The sequence below is a fragment of the Homo sapiens genome, chromosome 5, assembly GCF_000001405.40.
Source record: "Homo sapiens chromosome 5, GRCh38.p14 Primary Assembly".
Classification (NCBI taxonomy): Eukaryota; Metazoa; Chordata; class Mammalia; order Primates; family Hominidae; genus Homo; species Homo sapiens.
This window is the reverse complement of record NC_000005.10, coordinates 141,900,035-141,917,227: the sequence shown is the minus strand read 5'-3', so window position 1 is coordinate 141,917,227 and position 17,193 is coordinate 141,900,035. Positions and strand designations below refer to the sequence as shown.

At 45.0% G+C, this 17,193-nt stretch overlaps 3 annotated features.

Annotated features, from left to right (window-relative positions):
* Nucleotides 2,924-3,063: a silencer, noted in NCBI's record as "silent region_16463". NCBI's record gives its function as "represses an Ori minimal core promoter by ATAC-STARR-seq in GM12878 lymphoblastoid cells {active_cell/tissue: GM12878}" and the evidence as "EXISTENCE:reporter gene assay evidence [ECO:0000049][PMID:35858748]".
* Nucleotides 2,924-3,510: a biological region, named in NCBI's record as "H3K27ac-H3K4me1 hESC enhancer GRCh37_chr5:141293283-141293820".
* Nucleotides 2,973-3,510: an enhancer, noted in NCBI's record as "H3K27ac-H3K4me1 hESC enhancer chr5:141293283-141293820 (GRCh37/hg19 assembly coordinates)". NCBI's record gives its function as "activates a minimal SCP1, AML or CMV promoter by ChIP-STARR-seq in naive H9 embryonic stem cells {active_cell/tissue: H9 hESC(naive)}" and the evidence as "EXISTENCE:reporter gene assay evidence [ECO:0000049][PMID:30033119]".

Here is a 17,193-nt window from a genome sequence, read left to right as displayed (position 1 = left end):
TTTGAAAAAGTTTTATCAGGGTATGGAAGAGTGGACAGGACATTTAATGAACCCCAAGGGAAGAGACAGCTGGGACCCAGGAAAGACCAGAATTATGGACTCAGGAGGCAACAAAGTGAGCCCTTTCTCTCTGGCTTTCTGTCTGGCTTTCTCATGATTTGCCCAGATACCCCAAAGGTGTCAGACACTCCCATACCCAGTTGGTCACTGGGTCCTGTCAAAATCACCTTCTTTTGCATCAGACTCTTAAATCTGTCTCCTCTTCAGCTTCCCTGGTCTCTACATCTCTCTAGCAGTGCTTCTTCCTCCTTCTGACCGCTAGTACCAGCATTGTCCAGATGTCCATTCTTTCCCTATTGCTCTTAAACTCCCTCTGTCCTGTTGACTCTTAAATGAAAATACAGTGGTTAAGAGCTTGGGTTCTGGAGTCCTCATAATCAGGGTTTGAATCCTCCACCACTTTCTCAGTTGTGTGCACTTTGGGAAGTTATTTGAATTTTTTGAGCTTCACTTCCTCATCTATGAAATGGAGCACATGTAAAGTGCTTAGTTAGCACAGTGCCTGGCACACAGAAAGAACTCAAAACGGTGACTATCATTAGCCTTACCTTTGTCCTCTTTCCTGAGTTCCAGTTCAGTCCTCCACCACCTGCTAGATTTATCCATTAGATGTCATGCTGTGACCTCAGATCCACCTGTCAGAATTCCCCAGATGCTAGTGGAGGATGCAGCTTTCTGATAGCTGGAGGGTGGGAAGACTTGAAAAGGCAGGTGGTCCCATCGAATCCTCAAAGAAACCCCGTACCTGACCTCAGCCAGGCCTCAGCAGAGAAGGCCCTGAAGAACAGCTCCCCCAGAAGCCTCCAAACCCTGTGCTGGCTGACTCTTGGGTTCTAGGAGGGCAGGCAGAGCTGTCATTATGAGAGCAAATGGAGGATGTGAATTCAACCTTTAAAAAAAGCCCCAGGTGGTGAAGGGAGGTGTAGCAGGATCAGTGAAGTTTGGAAGCGGGTGAGAAAGGTGACAGCAACACCCTCAGGGCATTGAGCTGGGTTTAGGCTGGGGCCTCCCTCAAGCACTGGGGATTTGGCAGCATGGAAGTCAGAGATGCTCCTGTTTTTAGCTGAGCTGCTGCAGGTCCCCTTTGCCGCCCTTGTGAACATTCCTCATTAAGTGCCATGTGTGGAACAGGGTGGATGCATTCCCCGCCCCTCAGCCCTGCTCTCCCTACCTCCTCTCTGCTCTTGGGTGGTGGCAGTCCTATTGGCAGGAACCGAGGAGGGGCAGGGCCGAACTCTATCCAGCACAGAACTGGAGTCATGACGGTTGGAGGTAGGTAATCTCACAGCTGTTTTCTCCAGGCAGTGTGACCAAGTAGATCAGAGCTCTGGCTCTGAATCGGAATGTTTGTGCGCCTGTTCGAATCTCGCTTCTGCTTTTACTCTTTTTTTGACACTAGGCAAGTTGTTTAAATTCTTTATGTCTCATCTGTATAATGGGGATGATAATAGGCCTCTCTAATAGTTGTGAGTTTTAGTTAGATAATGCAGGTAAAGCACTTAGCTTAGTCCATCTATGCCACTTGGAGCCAAGGGCCCTGTCCTTGTAGGAATGACCACCCCCATTGCTGTCTTCACCCCATCTGTGTTGTCCTCTGTTCACATATCCATCTCTGCCTTTGAACTACAAGCTCCATTAAATCAGAGATTGAATTGTATGAGTCTGTGTCTCTGGTGCCCAACACAGGACCTAGCATATAGAAGAACTTAATAAATGAATGTTTACTGTTGGAAGGAACTGGTGAAACAATGTAGAAGACCCAGGATTCCCTCTGGCCTGAGTCCCACCATCCCCTCTGGGTCATTTACCACAAATAGAGAGCCTAGGCCAGTCACGTCCCGGGGACTGAGGATACAGCAGCGAATGAGATAGGCTGGGCTCCTGGCCTCATGGAGTGAATTGTCCAGGGGGTGATGGACGGGAAACATAACAAAACTGATGATACGTTTCAATTAGGAAGGTTGCTAGGAAGGAGAAGCTGGGCTGCTATGAGAGCATAGAGCAGAGGAACTATATTTTGGGCAGAAATGAATCGGGAAGAATTTCCTGGACAATGTTACAAGTAAATTGAGGCCCAAAGAAAGGGCAGGCTGGGTTGAAGCAGAAGGTGGAAAAGAGCCATCTAGGCAGAGGGAACAGCAGATGCAAAGGTCCTGAGGCAGATAGGAACTAGGTTGCTCAGTGGAAGTCAAGGTTATTGTGGCTGGAACCCAGTGATGGAAGGGGTCAGTGACCTCTCCAAGGCTGCAGAGCTAGGAGCACGGGTTGTAAGAGCCGTGTAGGCTATGATGAGAATTTGAATTTTTATCCCTGATTATAATAGCTAACATTTATTAAATTGTATGTATATGTGCACTGTGTTAAGTATTTTGCATGGTTTCTCATTTTCTTTTCACAGCCTCCCTGGGAGACTGGTACTATTATTCCCATTTTACAGATGATGAAATGCTGGCTCAGGGAGGTAAATTTCTTCAAGGTCACATAGTTGACGGTGGCAGAGTTGATTTGAACCCAGGTATCAGGATCCAACGCCTGCCCCTTTAGGCCCCGCGTGGCCCAGCTTAAGAGCTAAGTGCGGACTTGGATCCGCAGTACACGTTCCTCAAGGCCTAGGTTCCTCTTTCGCCGCCTCCCTTCCCCCGGATTGGGGAAGGCAGGTGCAGGTTTGCCCTGACCAGAGGAGCGCCCCAGCGGCAGGCTCAACTGCCTGCGGAGACGGCCCCAGAATCGCCCGGGGTCAGGCCGCACCCACGTGATGGCCCCGAGGCTGAGCTGCGGAGCACCGCCGCAGTGCAGTGGGCGCGGGCGTGTGCGCGCTCCTGCTGCTGCCGCGGCTGTGAAATCTGGAGGGAACCGACCCCAGACGGTGGCCCGGGGCCTGGGAGGGAGGGCGCCCCTCCGCGCTCGGCAGGGGGCTCTCTCTCCCCACGATCCCGGGGCCGAGCCCGCAGCTCCACTGCCTGCATCACGTTCCCTCCAGCCTTGAGGGGGAAAGCAGCGTTCATTTCTGATTAAAAATGACTATTTTTAATGGGCATCATTCTTTATTTCTTGCTGTCCTCTCCCAGGGCTAGAAAGAGGCGGAAAGCGACACTGAGAATCCATTCCAAACGAGCAGCCAAGAGGAGACGCGGCAGCTCCCAGATGTTGATGTTTTGTTTTTTGACATAAATCTTTGCACTCATATGGGAGTTTTCATTGATTCATGTTCCCATCTGCTGAATTTCCTTTTATTTATTTAATATGGCTTTGGGGGGATATCTTGCTCCGAGGCTCTGGAGGAACAATAACTGTGGCAGCCGTTGCACCCCACCCCCAAATCCCAAAAACCTTGGCTGCCGGGGGAGGGAAATTTAGTGGCATCCTGCGCTCATGCCCTCATCTTGGAGGCAAGCGCTCTAGGCATGCGTTTACGTGGCTGTTCTACTTGGGGCCTGCCCAAGGCTGTAAACCCAAGAAAGAAACAGCATAAGAGAGTCGGGGATCATTCTCTGTTCCTCATCCTTCCTGCCCACCCACAGCACCGTGTTTCCTTCATGCTAAAACACACTTACTCTCCTTTTAACAACTTGGAAATCAGGAAACATTTAACAGCGGATGTATTAAGTGTGTTAAACGTATATCCTTCTCCCCCCACTCATTCTGCACACTCCCATCCCACTAGTGATTCTTAGCAATAAAGAACTCCAGCTCTGGAGTCAGACTGCCTGGGCTTGAATCCTGACTCTGCTTTCTCTAATGAATTCTTGAGCAAGATAACTTCTCTGAGCCTGGGATTCGTCATCTGTAAAATGAGGATAATAACTATCTCTTTCTCAGATATACGTACATTTTACCGATGAGGAAACTGAGGCTGAGAGTAATTAAGAGATTTGCCCAACTAGAGCAGAGCTAGGAAACACCTCCTAGGTCTTTCTGATCCTCACCCTATCCCACCACCTCTCCTATGCCCACAGCCCCCTATGTATCTCACATCCAGTCCACCCTTCTCTGCATGTACTACATGGGACTGTCCTTGCAGGACAGGATATGGCTGGACATCTAAGACTCTATAAGTTGGTTCTAAGCTTACCCTGTGGGTGCACATACCCTTAACCCTTCAACTGTGCATGCCCTTTTACTGGAATTTCCATGCATGGTAAGCAGTCAGGATGCCTTTGCATGTGCTTAGTATCTTATGGGAGGTAAGCCCTCAAAATATGTTTATTCAAGAAAATTTGAGGCTGGGCGTGGTGGCTCACACCCGTAATCCCAGCGCTTTGGGAGGTTGAGGTGGGCGGATCACTTGAGCTCAGGAGTTTGAGGCCAGCCTGGCCAACATGGTAAAACCCCACCTCTACTAAAAATAAAAAAAAATTAGCCCAGTGTGGTGGTGCACACCTGTAATCCCAGCTACTTGGGAGGCTGAGGCAGGAGAATTGCTTGAACCTGGGAGATGGAGGTTCCAGTGCACCAACATTGTGCCACTGCATTGCAGCCTGGGTGACAGAGTGAGACACCATCTCAAAAAAAAAAAAAAAAAAAGAGAGAGAGAGAGGAAAAAAAAAATTTGATGGTGTAGAAGGGCATTTCTGCTCACGTTGCCCAAAACCACCTAGAAAGAAATTATTGCCTTCTTGAACTAAAGCCTACTCATTGGTTCCATGATTTTATCATTGAGGTTGCCGTGAGATAGAAAAGAAGGGGAAATTATTAATCAAAGTAAGCGGGAAAGAAATAACTCCAGAAATAATGGGAAGTGGGTGAGTAATACATTGTAGCAAAATGGCTAATTATCCACCAACATCCATTCTCTCCTTCTTCCATGGTATTAGAATTCAGCTGGGATGTGGCTGTCCAGTCAGGGTCTACATTTTCTAGCCTTTCACGAAGATAAGAGTAAGTTTAAAAAAAAAACAACTCGAAAGAATATGTACAGTATGATCCCATTCACTTATATTTCAAAAATAGGCAAGACTAAATTATATTATTTAGAAATGCATATATGGGTAATAAAACTATAAAGAAAGAAAGGGAATGTTCTTACAGATACATATGTAATAGATATACATTAATATATTATAGATTCATATACATGTTTTAGACATCTTCTGTATATATGTTATATTTCACAATTACCTTTTTAAGATGTTACTTACCTGGCTAGGCGTGGTGGCTCACACCTGTAATCCCAGCAGTTTGGGTGGCCAAGGAGGGTGGATCATCTGAGGTCAGGAGTTCGAGACCAGCCTGGCCAATATGGCGAAACCCCGTCTCAACTAAAAACACAAAAATTTGCCGTGGGTGGTGGCACACGTCTATAATCCCAGCTACCTGGGAGGCTGCGGCAGGAGAATAGCTTGAACCCGGGAGGCGGAGGTTGCAGTGAGCCAAGATCCACCGTTGCACTCCCTGCTGGGCGACAAAAGTGAAACTCTGTCTCAAAAAAAAAGAAAAGAAAAAAGAAAATGTTACTTACCTTATAGGGTTGTGTGGGAACTGAATGAGGTGATGCATTTTTGAGGCTCTAAGCTTAACTGCCTGGTGCATTGTAGGTACTCAATGGAAACAACTTTTTTCATTTATTATTTTTTATTTTTTGAATTATTTAATTATTTTACAGATGGAGGTCTCAGTTAGTTGCCCAGGCTGGAGTGCAGTGGCATGATGATAGCTTACTGCAGACTCGAACTCCAGGGCGCAAGAGATTCTCCCTCCTCAGCCTTTGCAGTAGCTGGGACTATAGGCACATGCCTCTGCCCCTGGCTGGCAGTAACTGTTCATGTTGAGGGAAGGATTTGAGGCCTTGAAGAAGGCCACATAATTAGCCAATGATAAGATTTTAAAAAGGTCCTACTTTTTTCTATGAAAGACATTGACTTCAAATATATATATACATATATATATACACACATATATATACATATATACACATACACACACACACACACACACACACACACACACACACACACACATATATATGGTTTTTTTGAGGAGTCTTGCTCTTTCGCCCAGGCTGGAGTGCAGTGGTGTGATCTCGGCTCACTGCAACCTCTGCCTCCCGGGTTCAAACGATTATCCTCCCTCAGCTTCCTGAGCAGCTGGGATTACAGGCATGTGCCACCACACCCAGCTAATTTTTTTTTTTCACTTTTAGTGGAGACGGATTTCACCATGTTGGCCAGGCTGGTCTCGAACTCCTGACCTCAGATGATCCACTCGCCTCAGCCTTCCAAAGTGCTGGGATTTTAGGCGTGAGCCACTGTGCCTGGCTGACTTCCTATATTTGTGTATATAAGTGTGTGTGTATAGGGGTGGTGATTATTGATTGATTTAGGGTTAATTGATGGTCACAAACTTAGTGAAGACTTGAAGAATTTCACCCTTCCCTTCAGAGAAGACACAGAGGAGAAAAGGAAAATTGCTTGACTAGAGGAAGCCTGCCCCTGGATGAGAAGAGGTAAGAGCAGTGAGGATACAATTATATTTGTGCTGGCTCCATATGAGAGGCCCAGGCAGGAGGCTCCATCCCCTGGATGTCCCACCTACATCCTCTTGGGTGCATCATGCTTCCTGCAGTGTTGATGAGGCCTCAGAAGTCAGCACAGGCGACAGTGGGATGGCCCAGACCCAGCTCAGGGATGCTGAGGGAAGCTATTCTGCTGACTGTGTGCCCTAAGGCACCGTGAAAGCAGCCAAGAGTGAGAGCAGTCACCAAGCCAAAAGGCACTGGGATCAGCCAGGGAGACCAGGAAAACCTGGCCAGAGTCTTCCAGCCAGGCCAGGCCAACAGAGCTGTGCACCTCTGGATGCCATGCCCCAGGGTCTCAAGCTTGCTCAGTCTTGGCCATGAGCTCCTAGAGGTGCCTCCCCAAGGGGAGCCCAGTCAGGCCTCCTTTCCCTACCATAGTTTCCTGGTTTCCACACTGTGGGCTGATACATTTTGTTGTGCAATGGAAGCCATGGGGATAAGGGGGGTTAAACGCTGGTCCCACTACTTACACTGTGGATTCTTGGGCTAGAGGCTCCTTAAGATTTTTCCCTTCTACTCTGATCCCTTCTAGTTAATCCAGTTCGGTCATTCAGTTCACTGTATATCAGGCCGGGCGTGGTGGCTCATGCCTGTAATCCCAGCACTTTGGGAGGCCGAGGCTGGTGCATCACCTAAGGTCAGGAGTTCAAGACCAGCCTGGCCAACATGGTGAAATCCCACCTCTACCAAAAAATATAAGAAATTAGCCAGGCGTGGTGAAGCGCGCCTGTAATCCCAGCTGCTCTGGAGGCTGAGTTAGGAGAATCGCTTAAACCTGGAGGTGAGGTTGTAGTGAGCCGAGATCACACCACTGCACTCCAGCCTGGGTGACAGAGCGAGATTCTGTCTCAAAAAAAAAAAAAAAAAAATTCACCCTGTATCTACTGGGCATGTGTAATGTCAAGGTGCTTTTTCTTTTCTTTTCTTTATTTTATTTTTTTTTTTGAGACAGAGTCTCGCTCTCATCCAGGCTGGAGTGCAGTGGCACAATCCCAGCTCACTGCAGCCTCAACCTCCCAGACTCAATCTATCCTCCTGCATCAGCCTCCCAGGTAGCGGAGACTACAGGCACATGCGCCACCACACCCAGCTAATTTTTTATTTTTTTGTAGAGATGGGTTTTTGACATGTTGCCCAGACCTCAGCCTCCCAAAGTGCTGAGATTACAGGCATGAGCCACCATGCCCAGCCTCAAGGCGCTTTTTCCAAATGCTAGCATCATGATGATGAAGAAGGAAGATATGGGCCCTGCCCTCATGGAGTTTACAGTCTATGGGAAAAGAGGTGCAGGATAAGCCATACAATTATGATGTATGTTACAAAAAGTAAAGGAGAATGGAAGAGAATCAATTCGAAGCTTAACATTGTTTAGCAATGTTTCTCAAAATATGGTCCCTGGACCACTTGCATCAGGGGTATCTGAGGTACTTGTTGAAAATTCAGGTCCTGGGCATCATGCCAGATATGCTGAATCCAAAGCTCTGAATGTGGAGCCTAAGGAACTTGCTTTTTAAAAAAATGTAGGTAAAATCTACGTAACAAAAAATTAGCCATTGAAAGTATACACTTCAGTGGCATTTAGTACATTCACAATGTTGTACAATCATCATCTCTATCTAGTTCCAAAACATTTGATCATCTCCCAAAGAAACTCCTGACTCATTAAGCAGTCACTCCCATTCTCCCTTCACCCCATCCCCTGGTAACCACTAGCCTTCTTTCTATCTGTATGAATTGACCTTTTCTAGATATTTCATAGAAATGAAATCATACACTACATGATCTTTTGCGTCTAGCTTCCTTCACTTAACAATGTTTTCAAGGTTCATCCATGTTGTAGCATACATCAGTACTTCATTTATTTTTATTGCTAAATAATATTCTATTGTGTGGGTATACCACATTTTGTTTATCCATTCATCCATTGATGGATATTTGGGTTGTTTCCATCTTTTGGCTATTGTGAATATTGCTACTGTGAATATTTATATACAAGTATTTGAGTACCTACTTTCAAGTCTCTTGGGTATACCCCTACGAATGAAACTGCTGGGTCATACGGCAATTCTATGTTTAACATTTTAAGGAACCACCAACTGTTTTCCACAGTGGCTGTACCATTTTATGTTCCCATCAGGAAGGCCCAAGGGTTTCAGTGTCCCCACATTCTTGCCAATACTTGTTCTTTTCCTTAATTATAGCCATCACAGTGGGTATAAAGTGGTATCTCATTGTAGTTTTGATTTGCATTTCCGTAATGACTAATGATGTTGAGCATCTTTTCATGTACTTTTTGGCCATTTATATGTCTTCTTTAGAGAAATGTCTATTCAAGTCCTTTGCTCATTTAAAAAATTGAGTTATCTAGGCCAGGCAGGGTGCTCACACCTGCAATCCCAGCACTTTGGGAGGCCAAAGAGTGTGGATCACTTGAGCCCAAGAGTTTGAGACCAGCTGGGGCAACATGGCAAAACCCCATCTCTACGAAAAAATACAAAAAATTAGCCTGGCATGGTGGCACCTGTAGTCCCAGCTACTCAGGAGGCTCAGGTGGGAGGATCACTTGAGCCCCAGGAAGGTTGAGGCTGCAATGAACTGTGATCTTTCCACTGTACTCTAGCCTGGGTGACAGAGTGAGACCTTGTCTCAGAAAAAAAGGATTGTCTTTTTGTTATCAAATTATGAGTCCTTTATATATTCTGGATACTAGAAGTTTATTGGATATGTGATTTGCAAATTGACAAATGAAATGAAAAGTGTCTTTTCACTTTCTTGAAGATGTTCTCTGATGCATGAAAGTTTTTAATTTTGCTGAAGTCCAGTGTATCCATACTTACTTTTTGTTGCATGTGGTTTTGATATCATGTTTAAGAAACCATTGCCAGGCCGAGCGTGGTGTCTCATGCCTGTAATCCCAGCACTTTGGGAGGCTGAGGCGGGCAGATCACCTAAGGTCAGGAGTTCGAGACCAGCCTGGCCAACATGGTGGAACCCTGTCTCTACTAAAAAATATAAAAATTAGCCGGGCGTGATGGCCGGCACTTTGCTCCCAGCTACTTGGGAGGCAGAGGCAGGAGAATCGTTTGAACCCGGGAGGCGGATGTTGCAGTGAGCCGAGATTGAGCCATTGCACTCAAGCCTGGGGGATGAAAGCAAGACCGCTCTCAAAAAAAAAAAAAAAAAAAAAAGAAACCATTGCCAAATCCAAAGTCATGAATATTTACCCTTATGTTTTCTCCTAAAGGTTTTACACTTTTTGCTCTTACATTTAGGTATTTGATACATAATGAGTTCAAAATTTTTGTTTGTTTTTTGTTTTTGTTTTAGGCCACTAAGTTTGTGGTAATTTGTTACATAGCAATAGAAAGCTAATACAGGACCAGAGCAAGAAAAGTTTCTGAAGCTATTGCAGGTATGATATAAGCTGCTTTCCTGCTTGGGCCTTATGACCCAGCAGATTCAACAGTGCTCCAAATGTCTATTGCAGATAGGAATGCTGGTGAACCATCTGGGAATCCCTGATAGAGGAATCATGACGTAGACTCCTAGAGTTTTGTATTGCAGCTATGTCTTTTTACACAAATAACTCATTCACACTTTGAAAAAATAAAATATACAGCTCCTGGGCTTGTTCCTGGGCTCTGGTGGAGACCAAATGCCTGACCTAGGATGCCAAGTGAACATGTAGCATTTACCCATTTATCATAAGGGGTATTTTAAAGATGAACAGCCAGATGGAGAGATGGATAGGTCAAGCCATGTGGGAAGGGGCATAGAGCTTTCATACATCTCTAGGCATGCCACCTTCCCTCCAAGTATCTTCATGTGTTCAGCTATCCAGAAGCTCCTTAGTGAGTTAATATTTGTATATGGTACGAGGTAAGGGGTCCAACTTTCTTCTTTGTTCTTCTTTCTTTCTCCTTCTTCTTCCTTCTTCTTCCTCCTTCTTTCTCTTCCTCCTCCTCCTCTTCCTTCCTCTTCTTCTTCTCCTCCTTCTCCTTCTTCTTCCTTTTTTGTATGTGGATATCCAGTTGTCCCAGCACTATTTGTTGAAGACACTATTTTTTGCCCATTGAATGCTCTTGGCACCCTTGTCAAAAATCAATTGACCCCATAGCTGTATTAGTATATTTTTGGACTCTCAATTCTATTTCGTTGATATATATCTCTCTATCCTTTATGCTACTATCACACTATTTTGATTACTGTAGCTTTGTAATACGTTTTGAAATCAGGAAGTGTAAGTCTTCCAGCTTTGTTCTTCTTTTTCAAGATTGCTTTGGCTATTTGGGGTCCGCTGCAATTCCATTTGAATTTAAGGATTGGCTTTTCCATTTCTGCATTGAGTCAAAAGCTCTGAAGGTAAAGCCAAGGAATCTGCTTTTTTTAAAAAAAATAAGTTTTGATTGTGAGTAAAATACACACAACATAAATTTTACCACTTTAACCATTTCTAAATGTACAGTTAAGTACATTCACATTTTTATGCAGTCAATACCCAGAACTTTTTCATCTTGCAAAACTGAAACTATACCCATTAAACAACCCCCCTTTTCCTCCTACCCCTGGAACCTGATAACCACCATTCTACTTTCTGTCTCTATGAGTTGGACTACTCTAGGTACTTCATATAAGTGGAATCATATAGTAGTTGTCTTTTTGCGACTGGCTTATTTCACTAATGTCCTCAAGTTTCATCCATGTTGTAGCATGTGTTTGAATTTCCTTTCTTTTTAGGGTTGAATAATATTCCATTGTAAGGATATACCACATTTTCTTTACGTATTCAGCTATCAGTGAACATTGGAGTTGCTTCCACTTTGGCTATTGTTGAATAATGCTGTTATAAACATGGGCATACAAATATCTCCTCAAGGCCCTGCTTTCAATTATTTTGAATTTATATCCAGAGGTAAAATTACTGGATCATATGGTAATTCAATTTTTAGCTTTTTGAGGAACCACCGTACTATTTTCCATAGCAGCTGTACCATTTTATCCTCCCACAAAAGCTTCCGTTTTTCACATCCTCACTTTTTTTTTTTTTTGAGATGGAGTCTCACTCAGCCACCCAGGCTGGAGTACAGTGGCGCAATCTCGGCTCACTACAACCACGGTCTCCCGGGTTCAAGTGATTCTCCCGTCTCAGCCTCCCGAGTAGCTGGGATTACAGGCACCCGCCATCATGCCTGGCTAATTTTTGTATTTTGGTAGAGACGGGGTTTCACCATGTTGGCCAGGCTGGTCTTGAACTCCTGACCTCAAGTGATCCACCTGCCTTGGCCTCCCAAAGTGCTAGGATTACAGGTGTGAGCCACAGTGCCCAGCTTCTTTCTTTCTCATTTTTAGGGGGGGATAGTGTGTGGTGATATTGCATTGTGGTTTTGATTTTCGCATAGGAATTTGCCTTTTTAAATGAACTTTTTATTTTGGAATGATTTTAGATTTACAGAAAAGTTACAAAGATAGTACAGAGGGTTCCTGCACATCTTTCATTTGGTTTCCATTTCCCCTAATGTTATCATCTTACATTACAATGGCACTTTGACAAAACTTGGAATCTGCTTTGTACTAAGCACGTGCGTGTGCACACACATGTGCACATCACTTATACTCATTATTTATTTATTTATTTGAGACAGGCTCTTATTCTGTCACCCAGGCTGGAGTGCAGGGTGTGATCTCAGCTCACTGCAACCCCCGCCTGCCAGGCTTAAGTGATCCTCCTGCCTCAGCCTCCTGAGTAGTTGGGACTACATGCACATGCTACCACATCCAGCTAGTTTTTTGTATTTTTCTGTAGAGACAGAGTTTTGCCATGTTGCCCAGGCTGGTCTCGAACTCCCGGGCTCTAGGGATCCACCCACCTTGGCCTCCCAAAGTGATGGGATTACCGGCATGAGCCACTGCGCCTGGCCGTGATTCTTACTTGCACTACAGTTTGAGAGCCACTAATCTAGGGGTCAGGAAAGTCCTTCCAGGGAAATACCTTTCAGCTGTTACTTGAAAGATGTGCATGAGTGAGTAAAAGGAACAGTGTGTGATCCAGGCAAAGGAAACAAACTGTGCCAAAGCCTGGGGGTAATAAAGAACTTGGAACATTTAAGGATAATCATAATAGCGGTAATAGTAATTTATTGACACTTACCATATGCCAAGCACTGGTAAGCACTTTAGAACATTATTTTACTTAATTTTCCACAACAATCCTATAAAGTGGAAAATATGATCATTTCTATCTTATAGAAGAGGTAACAGAATTGAAAGAAGTAACTTGCCCAAGGCTACACAACTGTAATGTGGCAAAAGCAAATTTGAACTTAGGTCTTTCTTTCCTGATTCCTTTTCTCCCACTAGGCCCCAGTAAATTTTATTCACCTGCTTGCAGCAAGAAGCAAAACCTTAAATATGTGGCTTTTCCTCCTTCTGGTCTACTCTTCCCACTCTCTTTTCCAGACTTCTCATCCTTCAGGGTTCAGAGAGTTCTTCCCATTCCAAAGCTATTCCTTAATGTTATTCTCTCTCATTGCATTGAAGGCTAAATTAATGAATAAATATAAATAAACAGTCTTAGCAACAATTTGCCTATCTTTCCTGCTGTACTGTCAACTTCATGAAGGCAAGGATCCAATCCGTCTGGTTCACCTAGTACCAGGAAGTGCTTACTAAATATGTGGGGTTTTTTTTGTTTTTTGTTTTTTGTTTGTGAGATGGAGTCTCGCTCTGTCACCCAGGCTGGAGTGCAGTGGCACCATCTCGGCTTACTGCAACTTCTGCCTCCTGGGTTCAAGCGATTCTCCTTGCTTCAGCCTCCCGAGCAGCTGAGATTACAGGCACCCACCACCATGCCTAGCTAATTTTTGTATTTTTTAGTGGAGATGGGGTTTCACCATGTTGGGCAGGCTGGTCTTGAACTCCTGACCTCAAGTTATCCGCCCACCTCCGCCTCCCAAAGTGCTGGGATTACAGGCATGAGCCACCGTGCCTGGCCTAAGTATTTGTTGAATAAATGAAGAAAGATAGGAACTCAAACATGTTTTGGATGTTGAATGAGTGACTTTTATTTTTGAGAAAGAAAAAAATCAAATGGGTTGCTGAATATCATTTAAGATATGAACCACAGGTTCCCTTTTTCTCTAGCAAAAACCTCAACATTGCTGTGCATGGTGGCTTATGCCTGTAATCCCAGCACTTTGGGAGGCCAAGGCAGGCGATTGGTTGAGCTCAGGAGTCTGAGACAGCCTGGGCAATGTGGCGAAACTCCTTCTTTAGAAAAACAAAACAAAACAGAAACAATTAGCGGGGTGTGATGGCACAGGCCTGTAGTCTCAGCTACTTTGGAGGCTGAGGTGGCAGGATCGCTTGAGCCAGGGAGGTGGAGGCTGCAGTCAGACGAGATCATGCCACTGCACTCCAGCCTGGGTGACACAGGGAGACCTTGTCTCAAAACAAACAAAAACCCTCAACCTTGATTTGATTCCCTGGAGAGACTGACCTGAGTCTGACTGACCTGAGAAACATCTCTTTGTTGAGAAGTTCAGATCTGAAGACAGGGGTGGGAAGTCTCTATTCCTGATGCAAAAGATCAAGAGTATCATCAAGAAGAAAATACCATCCTAACAACTTCAGAAAGTCAACTGGCTACAAGGAGGGAAGGGGGCAACTGACCTCCCCAGGTCTGGGGTTCTGCTTTGGGGTTCTGTTTGGGTTCTGTTTGGGGTTTGCTTCTACTCTGGGGTTCTGCTTTCCAGCATAGCACCAGAGTGCTAGCAGAGTGACCATGCTGTAAGCGAAGGCTAACTGCTCCCTACTTCCCCTGGCTCCCCCAGTGTTAAATTAGCTTTATGTCAATACCACACCAGCAGCTGGGATGAATTATTGAAGCTCATTCATCGCAGTGAGCCCAGGTTCCACTTGCTTTATGAAATGGAGGTGAATGTGACCATATTATTTCTATTTGTCTCGTTGCAGTCAGTACATCTTCAGTCTGTTGTTAATATGAAGGGACTCAGCCCTAGGCAGATAATCCCAGCCTCTGCTTCTGATGAGAGCTACAGAGATAAGCATAGTGGGAGTGTCAGAGCACATAAAGTGGGAGGGGAGGAGTGCAGGAACACATCTGCTGGCTCCAAACTCGCAGGGGCTCTTAGTTATCACAATTTACATGGTAGTCCCCAACACCTATTCATATACACATAAGCACAGTCAACACACACATACACACATATATGCACATATACATTCAGAGTCTTAAAGGCACACTCACCAGGGGCCCAGGAACAAAAATGTGGAGCGTGCCAACATTTTAAAGAATTATTTTCTCAAAGATTGTGCACATTTTAAAGGCTTCTCCTCCCCCAATCTTCAGCACCAGTCCTTCTCTAGAAGTGCTGGCTAGCTTGCCCCTGACTCTTGGCAGAGATGGCTGACCTGGAATGTCTAAGGCATGAACAGGGAACCCACTTGTAGGAGGCTCCTGTGTGCATGTGGGAGAGCAGTCTTTCTTCTCTGCTCCCTTCCAACTCCCTCCTGAACTGATGTATGCCTGACTTTCAAGATATATTTCTGTTGCTTGACCCAGATGCCAAAATTATCTGTTATAGCTCTGCATCTATCCATATACACCCGCATTGACATTCACAGTCACAAACATGCAGTCACACTCCTACACACTCATGCTCACACACACACACTACATACCCAGAGCCAGGCCTCCTAGCCATATGGCTTGGTTTGAAGGCTAATGAGAAAGCCTCCTGATCCTATCTGCTGGTCACAAGCCTCTCAAAGATTCCACCATTAAATATTTATCATTTTGGGAGTACTCAGCTAAGAATTAAGACCTCCAGTCAAGGCAACACACCATAAAGTTTTCATCCAACATTTTGGCAGAAGCCCACCTCTACCCAGAAACTTCTTTCTCCTTGACTAGCTGACTCTTACTCATTCTTCAGGTCTGACCCAACCTCCCCTGTTCAGCCCCGACCCCTTACTGTTGAGGGATGGTAAGTTCCCCCATTATCCATGCTCATTACTCTCTGTCATTTTCCTTCCTTGCACTGATTAAACCTGTAATTAAATGATTATTTATGTGATCACATTTATATGGTTTGTGGCCCCATTAGAAAGAGAACTCCAGTTGGTTAGGAGTTGCCTTTCTCTCTGTTCTTCACTATACACCAAGTGCTAGCACAATGCCTGGCACAGAATTGATGTTCAATAAAACTTAAATGGCTGGGCGTAGTGGCTCACGCCTGTAATCCCAGTACTTTGGGAGGCTGAGGCGGGTGGATCACCTGAGGTCAGGAGTTCAAGACCAGCCTGACAAACATGGAGAAACCCTGTCTCTACTAAAAATACAAAATTAGCCGGGCATGGTGGCACATGCCTGTAATCCCAGCTACTAGGGAGGCTGAGGCAGGAGAATCGCTTGAACCTGGGAGGCCTAGGTTGCGGTGAGCCGAGATCACACCATTGCACTCCAGCCTGGGCAACAAGAGCGAAACTCCATCTCAAAAAAAAAAAATTAATTAATTTAAAAAAAATGAAGTTGAATGCTTTGGGGAAAGGACATTAGAGAAGAAGGAAAACAGACAGAAAATGTCAGAACAGATAATTCCAAATCCTTCTGATCTTGGGCCTCTGACTATCACCAGTATGTTCCTTTCTCACCTGCCAGGGTGACACCATGTAACTCTCCTGGGGCATGTTAAGATGCCCAGCAGAGGCCGGGTGCAGTGGCTCAAGCCTGTAATCCCAGGACTTTGGAAGGCTGAGGCAGGTGGATCATTTGAGATCAGGAGTTCGAGACCAGCCTGGTCAACATGGCAAAACCGCCTCTACTAAAAATACAAAAATTAGCCAGGCATGGTGGCATGCACCTGTTGTCCCAGCTACTTGGGAGGCTGAGGCACAAGAATCGCTTGAACCCAGGAGGTGGAGGTTCCAGTGAGCCAACATCATGCCACTGCACTCCAGCCTGGGCAATACAATGAGATTCCATCTCAAAAAAAAAAAAACAAGATGCCCAGTAGAACTACACAGGGACAGCACTAGGATTGAAGCAGACAGAAACTTCTCAGCTGGAGGAAACAGGCCTGAGGGGCATCCTGGCCTGGTCTGGCTCTGCACTTATCCAGAATGTGACTAAGAGTTCATAGTTCTAGACCAAGCTTTGTGTGAGGAACCTTCTATTCCAGATGTTTTCTGGTAATTAAGATGGGAGATGTTTGTTGCCGAGAACATATGGTATTGATAATAATAACAAAAATACTATCAGCTACCATTTATAGAAAGCTTACTATATGCCAGGCACTGGGCTAAGTACTTTATATATAGTTACACATAATTAATTAATCCTCACAACCATCTTGAGAGAAAAATGTACCACTATTTCCATTTTGAGAATAAGTAATTTGCCCAACATCACACAACTGGGAAGCAACTGAGCCAGGACAGGACTCTGAGGCCAAGCTTTGAACCAGCAGGATAGGCTGCCTTCTATTTAAGCCCCGAGGAGATACCAGACCACCTCATACTCACTCAACAGATACAAAGTAGTGCCCTTTAATGGACTTGGGATTTATTTGCAATCTTAGAAGCTGCCACTATTCCCTTGT